We start from the raw sequence: 10,895 nt of genomic DNA, 5'->3' as shown, positions 1-10,895 counted from the left end.
TGGGAGACCAAGCCAGGTGGATCACTTGATGTCAGGAGTTCGAGACTAGCCTGGCCAACATGGTGAAACCCTGTCTCTACTAAAAATACGAAAATTAGCCAGGTGTGGTGGTACACGGCTGTAGTCCCAGCTGCTCAGGTGGCTGACGCAGGAGAATTGCTTGAACCCAGGAGGCAGAGGTTGCAGTGAGCCGAGTTCACACCACTGTACTCCAGTCTGGACAACAGGGTGAGACTCTATGCAAAAAAAACAAAAAAAAAAAACAACAAAAAAAAGGAAAGGGGAGCCAGGCATGGGTGTGGTGGCTCACGCCTATAATCCCAGCACTTTGGGAGCTGAGGCTGGTGAATCACCTGAGGTCAGAAGTTTGAGACCAGCCTGGCTAACATGGTGAAACCCTGTCTCAACTAAAAATACAAAAATTAGCTGGGCGTGGTGGCGCATGCCTGTAATCCCAGCTACTCGGGAGGCTGAGGCAGGAAAATAGCTTGAACCTGGGAGGCGTAGGTTGCAGTGAGCCAAGAATGCACCATTGCACTCCACCCTGTGCAACAAGACAAAACTCTGTCTCAAAAAAAAAAGATGGTAAATTTTATCTTATGCATTTTTTTACCATACACACAAACAGACAAAACTAGAGGAGAGCTAGTTAAAAAAAAAAAAAAAATCACTCTAGCTGCCACTAGGTTTGAAGGGGCTCTGCTAGTGGCAGGAAAGTCTCCTAGCAGGATGTTCTTTTGTCTTGATGAGAAGTGCTGGGGCATGAACAAAGGCAGTGCCCTGGATCCCCAAAGACTGTGAAAGATTGAATTATTTGTCCCTTGTAATATAATTATCCACCCACATCCTTGCCATGGTGGACAGAGAATACTTTCCCACCTTTTGATTTTGTGTTTGGCCATGTGACTTGCTTTGGCCAGTAGGAAACTTGTGAACCTGACATGAGAAGTTTTGAAATGTGCTTGCTCAGTTGGACATGCCTTCTCATGCTGCAGTAATCTGCCATGACAAGAACGTGCCCCATATAGCTGCTGCTCCTTCCTTCTGGGTCCAGGAATGAGTCTCCAGGAACAGGCCATAATCCCTGGGTAGCCGCTGGTCCCAGGAGAACGAGGGACATGCCGAGCAGATCTGAACTCAGCCTGCAGCTTGGAGTCTAGCCTCGATCAACCAAGGTACGATTCAATTTCAGCTGAATTGTACAGCTGACCCACAGGTCATGAGCGTGACAATAAAGGATTATTGTTTGAAGCTTCTGAGTTGTTGTGGTTGTTGTTTCATACAGCACAACGACCCATTTTAGAATGGCACTTAGTAGGCTTTTACAACCTCAACCATTGTTCTGCTGATAGCAAAGCTTTCCATCCAGCAATACTCAACATCCAAACACAGAAGACATGGCAAAAGCAGGGGGGAGTGCTGAGGTGGTTAAGTTCATATACAGAGTGCTGGTGAAAGCACAGGGTGAAGAATCCCTGGGGGTCACTTCCTAGATGGGAGCACAGTAGCCTAATACCTTAGCTGTAGCTTCATCAGTATGTTGGTATGGATCGCTGTAGGAACACGTGATCAACAGCTCTTAGCATCATCTTTTTGGAGTGACTTGAGTCTTGTGATTGAAATGATTCTATTTCTTACTGGTTGGGATTATTTAGTGAAGACACTGTTTGGAACAGATATTATCATTATCCTGTTCCTGGGCCTGTAACCCCAGCACTTTGGGAGGCTGAGGCAGGCAGACCACAAGGTCAGGAGATCGAGACCATCCTGGCTAACACAGTGAAACCCCCTCTCTACTAAAAATACAAAAAATTAGCCGGGCGTGGTGGCGGGCGCCTGTAATCCCAGCTACTTGGGAGGCTGAGGCAGGAGAATGGCGTGAACCTGGGAGGCAGAGCTTGCAGTGAGCTGAGATCGAGCCACTGCACTACAGCCTGGGTGACAGAGCAAGAATCTGTCTCAAAAAAAAAAAAAAAAAGAAAGAAAGAAAGGAAAGGCAAGGAAGAAAAGAAAGAAAGAAAGAAGTCACTACTTTATCATATAAAAATCAATAATAAGTCATTAATGGAAATTATAATCCAGTTGGTGTTTTCTATTTCTTCAATTATAATTTTTTCTTTTTCTTTTTTTTTTTTTCTTGAGACAGGATGTTGTTTTGTCACCCAGGCTGGAGTTCAGTGGTTCAACTATAGCTCACTGCAACCTCAAACTCCTGGGCTCAAGTAATCCTTCTGCCTCAGTCTCCTGAGTAGCTGGAACTACAGGCGTGCACTACCATGCCTGGTAATTTTTTAAAATTTTTGTAGAAACAAGGTTTCACTTTGTTGCCCACTTTGTTAATCTGGAACTCCTAGCCTCAAGTGATCCACCCGCATCAGCCTCCCAAAGCACTGGGATTACAAGTGTGAGCCTCCATTCCTGGCCTCATTTTCTTTTTTAACAGGTGTTTGAATTAATATACAAATAAAGTCTATAAATAGGGCTTGGTTGATAAATCTTAAAACCTGCAAGTTTCCCCTCCGTCTCTTTTTGTTTTGTAATACTGTTTTGTTAAGGAAATTGGGGGATTTTTTTAATTTTGTTTTTGTTTTTTGGTTTTTTTTGGAGACCGAGTCTTGCTATCACCCAGCCTGGAGTGCAGTGGCGTGATATCGGCTCCCTGCAACCTCAGCTTCCAGGGTTCAAGTGATTCTCCAGCTTCAGCCTCCCGAGTAGCTGGGATTACAGGCGTGTGCCACCACACCCAGCTAAATTTTGTATTTTTAGTAGAGACAGGGTTTCACCAGGTTGGCCAGGCTGGTCTCGAACTCCTGACCTCAAGTCATCCACCAGCCTCAGCCTCCCAAAGTGTTGGAATTACAGGCGTGAGCTACCGCACCAAGCTGGAAACTAGGTTGTTTATCCTTGCAGTTTCCCACAGTCTGAATTTGGTTGATTGCAACCCTGTGGTACCATTTAACATGTCTTCTGTCTTCTGTATTTAGTTAGGGAGGCTTGAACAAATTCACGTCCAACTATTTTTTTCAAGACCACCTCCTAGATGGTGATATGTGCTTCCATCAGGAAGCACCTAACTTCTGGTTGTGTCTCATTTTGCAACATCTGCAGCCATGGATGATCATTACTTAAATTCATGAGGAATTGCAAAATAGTGACATTATAACTGTATTATTTCTTATTTTATTAACCTGCATATTTCTACAAAGTGAAACTTGCCCTCATTGATTATTTAGTTATCCTGAGAGATAGATCATATGCAAAAGACATGACAAATATTTAATGCTTTCCCTTTATTTACCAGCTGCCTAGCATCCCCCTAAGGTGAAAAACTAGTTATTTTTAAATATGTGTGAATCAGTGGATTTAAACATGTCTGATTGGTGTCAATCCATTGCAGTTATTAATCTTACTGGTGCTCAAAAAATCTCGCCTTTGGCTGGTGGAAGTGTATTCAGGTTGGCTCCTGTCTCCTTTTGACATGACCCGGGGAGTGTTTCATAGCATCCTATTTTATATGACAGGATATTTATGACTCATTCCTTATATCTCCTGTCCCCAAAATGCCCAGAGGCATTTTTCATCTGGATTGCTTGAAGGTCAGTGATGGCAGGAGGTAGGCTGACTCCCAGTTTGAAGACTTACAGAGCTACATGGACAGTGATGTCACTTGCAGATGTGGGGTCGACATTGAGGTTGGGGGACCAGAGTGGTCAAAGAAGACTGAGAGGGTAGCGGAGTGAGGGCAGACATCTCTGGCCATCCTGCAGGGCCGTGGGGACTTTAGCAGTGCAACTCCCGTCCACAGTAAGGGTGATGGCAGTTGCTGCAGGTGGCCACGGGAGGCTAAAGGCAATGGTACTACGAAGGCCCCAGGCATCTTCAGGCTTCCACATGGTCCATGGCACAAGTCACCACAGACCGCCCAAACCTGGGTTCACTTTCCTCTCTTGGCGCTTGTGCATGAGAAAGCTCCTGTCTTCTCCAAACATGGGTTGGCCCAAAAGAGAGATGTGTGTCCCCTTGTTACAGTCTGCTCAGCCTGCTAGTATAACACCCCAGCCCCCCCATACACACGCCTTTGTGCCTTCACCCCTGCACCATAAAGCACATGTACTCCATGCGTAAACACGTTTACGTATACGATGGTGTGCAGCTGCCCACTCACACGCACACATGCAGTGGTGTAGAGAAGGAGCCTTGGCGGTGCACTGTGGTCAGGAAGGCCTGCACTTGAACCTCCTTCGCTAGGCCATGGGTCTCTGGACCTCAGTTTACTGATCTATAAAACAAGATGTTGGCCTTAATGTCCCTCTGTCCCCAAGGTCCCTGTCTGTCCATGCTGACAATAAGGTTCTAAGTGTTTCAAAGTATATATTCACTCATAGAAACTCTGGGGACAGCCCCTTCCAAGCCTCCCCTAGTCCCCGTACCCACACATTTTAACCAGAAGAAGCCCTATACCTGGAATGCCCAGCCTTCAGGTTGCAACTTGCTTTTCACCTTGACTACAGCACCCGAGGAGACAGAAATGCTCACTGGGTGGCCCCCCCAGGCTGGGGTACTAGGGGGCAGGTGGCTCTGGCTTGGTACCCTCCTTAGGCCTGGATTTCTACCCACTTCCACAGGGCTCCAGCGGGGACAGTAACCAGTCTGCAACGGCAGTGGGCTCTCCCAGTTTGCCTCCCAGTTAGGATTTGCCAACACTGGCCATCTAAGGCCTACTGGGGTCCTTGCAGGTTTCCTGGGGGGATAGGAAAGCTCTGTGTGCTGACTGCCGCCCTGCTGGCCTGCAACCCTGAGCTCAGCTTACCCACTGCAATCGGCTGCCAAGGGGCACTGGATCTCAAGTGCTACTCTATATGAGTGTGTGTTTTGGGAGAAGTACTAGGGAAGAAGGGAAGGCTTTTTTCCATAGAAAGGCATGCGATGTAGTAAAAGTGGGGAAGCTTTGGACACAATCCTGGCTCAACAACTTATTAGGGGTGTCTAATCTTTTGGCTTCCCTGGGCCACACTGGAAGAAGAAGAATTGTCTTGGGCCACAGATAAAATACACTAACACTAATGATAGCTGATGAGCTTAAAAAATTTTGCCAAAAAAATTTTTATTTTATTTTATTTTATATTTTAGTTTTTGAGATGGAGTCTCACTCTATTGCCCAGGCTGGAGTGCAGTGGCACGGTCTCAGTTCACTGCAACCTCTGCCTCCCAGGTTCAAGCAATTCTCCTGCCTCAGCCTCCCAAGTAGCTGGGACTACAGGCATGCACCACCACGCCTGGCTAATTTTTTGTAAAAAAAAAAAAAAAAATTATAATATTTTAAGAAAGTTTATGAATTTGTGTTGGGCTGCATTCAAAGCCATCCTGGGCCGCATGTGGCCCGTGAGTTGTGGGTTGGACAAGCTTGACGTAAATACTATGTGGCCTTGGCCCCTTTCCAGGCCATGGTTTCCTCTTCTGTGAAAAGGGAACCAGTGGCTGGGAAAAGGGAACCAGAAGCCGAAGTGGGAGGATCACTTGAGCATAGGAATTTGAAATCAGCCTGGGCAACACAGCAAAACCTTGTCTCAATTTTAAAAATAAAAAATATATGAAAAAAGGGAACCAGAGTGACTATTTTAGGGTAGTTTTGAGAATTCACTGACATAATGCCTATAAAGCCACAGCAGGTGTCAGCCACACAGTAGGTGTTGAAAAGCTGGGAGCTGCTGCGTTGCTGCTGTCATTATTGACTGGCCTGTTTTTCAAAACAGGGCACAAAGTGAGTTATGGGAGCTCCAGAAAGGAATGCTTGGTTTCAATACTTAGCAAATAATAACAAAAAGAATATTGAAGTATATATAAACATTTTGAGGCCGGGCGCAGTAGCTCACGCCTGTAATTCCGGCACTTTAGGAAGCCGAAGTGGGAGGATCACTTGAGGTCAGGAGTTTGAGACCAGCCTGGCCAACATAGCAAAACCTTATCTCTACTAAAAATACAAAAATTAGCCGGGCGTGGTAGCACGCGCCTGTAGTCCCAGCTACTCAGGAGGCTGAGGCAGGAGAATCACTTGAACCCAGTAGCAGGAGGTTGCAGTGAGCCAAGATCGTGCCACTGCACTCCAGCCTGGGCGACAGAGCAAGGCTCCATCTCAAATAATAAAAATTTAAAAATAAAGTATATGTAAACATTTGAAAACAATGACCATTTATTTCTCTATCTGGAAATATGCAGACTAGCTGAATAGAGAAATCCCTTCCTAAAAATGCTGAATGAAATACCAAAAATGTGTGTGTGAAAGCACAGATAAAAGGGTGTTAAACAGGGAATCAGTCAGAAGCCAGAATAACAAGAGCATGACCCCATCAGGGTGAGCCTGCACCGGGGCCTGTGCTTTCTGAGACCCTGGGATGTAAATGGCCAGTGTGCCAGGCACCTCCTGGGCACCACTTCAGTCTGCTTGGCCCCAGTTCTGATTCTGGCCACTGCTGAGGTGATGAGTGTTCTGTGGGCCTCATGCAGGTGCTGCCTCACCTTGGGCACATGGGGCCCACCCCTCCCTTCCTGTCTGAGTCTCACTGACCCCACAGGGCAGATGCTCTCGGGAATCCCCTGAACCATTATGCATGCGCAGACCCCAAGTTCAGGGGAGTTCATGTCTGTGAGGCCACTCTTGACCAATGATTGACACAAGCAAATACTCATTGTGTCTTTTTTGTATCTCCCATTTCATAAGACTCCTTGGAAGATCCTATGGAATCAAGCACCTATCAGAGGTCCCCTTAAATAATGCGACCTTGTCCCGGGCTTCCCTCTTTCTTTCTCTCTCCAGCCCTCACTCCTACTCCCTGGGATTACTTCCAAAGTTAATTACACAAAAACCTTTGTCTGAGGCTTTGCTTTTAGGGGAAACAAAATGAGGAAAGAGAAGAAAAGACCTGAGGTCTGGTCCTGGGAAGTAGGTTATCAAAGATTTCCTTTCTCCCCCAAATTTGGGACTTCTCAAAAGCCAGTGCCCTAAGGGAGAAATGGGGAGAAAACAACTCAGCCACAGAAGACTTTGCCGTACCCACTTAGCTGTGCTGGAGAGGTAACACAGGCTAAAAAGAAATCCAGTAAAATGCATAACAAGCTGATATTCACACAGAGAAAAGCCCAACATCATATTCCCTATGTGATTGGAAAAACACTAAGCCAAAAACAATTTTTAAGTGGATCTGAGTTGGAAGTACCCCTAGGCGCCTGGCAAAAGCAAACAAAAATCCTTTCTGGAAGAATATATTTTAAACACAGATTCAAAGACTTCCCACAAAGAATTTCAAGGAACATAAGTTCATAATTAAACATCAATAAACTCAAAAAGAAACAAACCACAAGGGCATGAGTCAGCAGAAACAACGAATAACAAGATGAGACCCACAAATACTACATAAAATAGAATGATGAGATGCAGGATAGAAAATAAGTGTTTCAGGCCGGGCGCTCGGCTGTAATCCCAGCACTCTGGGAGGCCTGGGCTAGAGGATTGTTTGAGCCAGGAGTTCAAGACCAGGCTGGGCAATAGAGTGAGACCCCATCTCTCTCTCTCTAAAAAAAAAAAAAAATACATATATATACACATATATATACACACACACACGGAAAAATATATATTATATATTATAAATATATATTATATATTATATATTTTTATATATTTATAGATTATATAATTATAATATATAACTATATATGACATATAATATATATTATTATATATATATTTATTATATATATAGAGAGAGAGATGGAGTTTTGCTCTTATTGCCCAGGCTGGAGTGCAATGATGCAATCTCGGCTCACTGCAACCTCCACCTCCCGGGTTCAAGCAATTCTCCTGCCTCAGCCTCCGAAGTAGCTGGGATTACAGGCATGAGCCACCACACCTAATTTTGTATTTTTAGTAGAGATGGGGTTTCTCCGTGTTGGTTAGGCTGGTCTCGAACTCCTGACCTCAGGTGATCTGCCCACCTCAGCCTCCCAAAGTGCTGGGATTGCAGGCATGAACCACCATGCCCAGCTGAAAAAAAATTTTTAATATGTTTAAAGAAGTGTAAAACGGGCCAGGTGCGGTGACTCACAGCTGTAATCCCAGCACTTTGGAAAGCCAAATGGGTGGGTCACTTGAGGTCAAGAGTTAGAGACCAGCCTGGCCAACATGGCAAAACCCTGTCTCTACTAAAAATACAAAACTTAGCCGAGTATGGTGGTGCGTGCCTGTGATTCCAGCTACTCAGGAGGCTGAGGCAGGAGAATTGCTTGAACTCGGGAGGTGGAGGCTGCAATGAGCCGAGATGGTGCCACTGCACCCCAGCCTGGGCAACAGAGCAAGACCTTGTCTGAAAAAAAAAAAAAAAAAGAATTGTAAAGCGATACTGAAAATATGGCAAATAAACTAATTAAATTAATTAGGCATATTTGAAGATGAACCAAATAAAACTCTCAGGAATGAAACTATAATTATTAAGATTTAAAACCTCAAAAGAGGTTGGGTGTGGTGGCTCACACTTGTAATCCCAGCTCTTTGGGAGGCTGAGACAGGTAGATCACTTGAGGTCAGAAGTTTGAGACCAGCCCGGCCAACATGGCAAAACCCTGTCTCTACCAAAAATACAAAAATTAGCCGGGCATAGTAGCCGGCACCTGTAATCCCAGCTATTCGGGAGGCTGAGGCTTGAGAATCACTTGAACTTGGGAGGCGGAGGTTGCAGTGAGCCAATGTCACGCCACCACACTCCAGTCTGGACAACAGAGTGAGACTGTCTCAAAAATAAAATAAAATAAACAGTTTAAGAAATTACTAAAAATTCAGCAAAGAATGAAAAAATGGTGAAATATGAAAGAGAAGTTAAAAGACATGGAAGAAATCCAACATTTATTCCTGATGAAAACCTCTCAGCAAACTAAGAACTAATGGGAATTCCTCAACTCAATGATGGACATTCACAAAAACCCTACATCTACTGTCATATTTTATGGTAAGAAACTGAATTCTTTCACTCTAAGTTCAGGAAGAAGCAAGGATACCTCCTCTTAACACACCCATTCAATATTTTACTAGAGGCCCTAACCAGTGCAAGAAGTCAAGAAAAACAAATAAAAGGCCTACAGACTGGCAAAGAAGAAACAAACCTGTTTCTGTTAGCAAAATACATAATTGCCTTTATAGAAAATCACAAAGAATCTACAAAAAGCTCCTACAATGAATGACTTAAGCAAAGTTATGGGATATGAGGTCAGCATAGAAAAACCAATTGTGCCAGTGGGGCTATGGGTGGCCCCTTTTCTCCTCAGTCAGGGCTGGAGGCCAAGATCAGCCTTTGAGGATTATCAGGGCTGCCACAAGCTGGGCAGCCTTGTTTTCCTACCTCAGACATTTGTAGAAGGAAAAAAAAAATCAATTGTATTCCTATAGATTAGCAATAAATAAATTGGAAATTTTGAAAAGTACCATTTAGAACTGCATAAGAAACAGATTCCTACTTTGTAAAAATCTAACGAAACATGTGCAAGAGCAGTATGCAGAAAACAAAACAAAACCGATGAGAGAAACTAAAAAATATCTACATAAATGTTTATAAAGTAGAAAAATCAACATGGTTAAGTGACAAACTCTTCCCAATGCAACCAACAGAGTTAATGCAATACCAGTCAAAATCCCATCAGGGTGCCAGGTGTGGTGGCTCACACCTGTAATCCCAGCACTTTGGGAGACCAAGGTGGGCAGATCACTTGAGGCCAGGAGTTCAAGACCAGCCAAGTGATCTGCTCTGTTGTCCAGGCTGGAGTGCAGTGGCGTGATCTCAGCTCACTGCAACCTCTGCTTCCAGGGTTCAAGCGATTCTCCTGCCTCATCCTCGAGTAGCTGGGATTACAGGTGCACACCATCATTCCTGGGTAATTTTTGTATTTTTAGCAGCGGCAGGGTTTCACCATGTTGACCACGCTAATCTTGAACTCCTGACCTCAAGTGATTTGCCTGCCTCAGCCTCCCAAAGTGCTGGGATTACAGATGTGAGCGACTGTGCCCAGCCTTATAAGTAAATTTATAATTTACATAATTTAAATGCTTATGCTGCAATGGGAGACGAATCAAATATCAATAATCTAAGCTTCCACCTCAAGTAGTTCAAAAAAGAAAAGGAAATCAAACCCAAAGTAAGAAGAAGAAAATAATAAAGATAAGAGCAGAAATCAATGAAATAGAAAAAAACAATAGGCCGGGCGCGGTGGCTCAAGCCTGTAATCCCAGCACTTTGGGAGGCCGAGGCGGGCGGATCACAAGGTCAGGAGATCGAGACCATCCTGGCTAACACGGTGAAACCCCGTCTCTACTAAAAATACAAAAATTAGCCGGGCATAGTGGCAGGCGCCTGTAGTCCCAGCTACTCGGGAGGCTGAGGCAGGAGAATGGCGTGAACCCGGGAGGCGGAGCTTGCAGTGAGCCGAGATTGCATCACTGCACTCCAGCCTGGGCGACAGAGTCAGACTCTGTCTCAAAAAAAAAAAAAAAAAAAAAAGAGAGTTGGTGTTTTTTTGTGTTGTCTTTTGAGACGGAGTCTCGCTCTGTCGCCCAGGCTGGAGTGCAGTGGCGCCATCTCGGCTCACTGCAAGCTCCACCTCCCGGGTTCACGCCATTCTACTGCCTCAGCCTCCGGAGTAGCTGGGACTACAGGCGCCCGCCACCACGCCCAGATAATTTTTTCTGTATTTTTAGTAGAGACGGGGTTTCACCATGTTAGCCAGGATGGTCTCGATCTCCTGACCTCGTGATCCACCCGCCTCAGCCTCCTAAAGTGCTAGGATTACAGGCGTGAGCCACCGCGCCCGGCCTTTTTTTTTGTTTGCTTTTTGTTTTGTTTGTTTTTGAGATG

General features: G+C 44.9%; 1 non-coding gene across 1 annotated transcript, besides 2 other annotated features; it reads left to right on the top strand.

Annotated features, from left to right (window-relative positions):
- Positions 11 to 200: an enhancer, noted in NCBI's record as "active region_9835". NCBI's record gives its function as "activates an Ori minimal core promoter by ATAC-STARR-seq in GM12878 lymphoblastoid cells {active_cell/tissue: GM12878}" and the evidence as "EXISTENCE:reporter gene assay evidence [ECO:0000049][PMID:35858748]".
- Positions 9,270 to 9,400, top strand: LOC124900369 (small Cajal body-specific RNA 20). Its single transcript, XR_007064820.1, has one exon.
- Positions 9,915 to 10,415: an enhancer, noted in NCBI's record as "H3K4me1 hESC enhancer chr15:75412862-75413362 (GRCh37/hg19 assembly coordinates)". NCBI's record gives its function as "activates a minimal SCP1, AML or CMV promoter by ChIP-STARR-seq in primed H9 embryonic stem cells {active_cell/tissue: H9 hESC(primed)}" and the evidence as "EXISTENCE:reporter gene assay evidence [ECO:0000049][PMID:30033119]".

Source organism: Homo sapiens, chromosome 15, assembly GCF_000001405.40.
Source record: "Homo sapiens chromosome 15, GRCh38.p14 Primary Assembly".
Lineage (NCBI taxonomy): Eukaryota > Metazoa > Chordata > Mammalia > Primates > Hominidae > Homo > Homo sapiens.
Note: the sequence above shows the minus strand (reverse complement) of the source record. Positions and strands in the feature narration are given on the sequence as shown.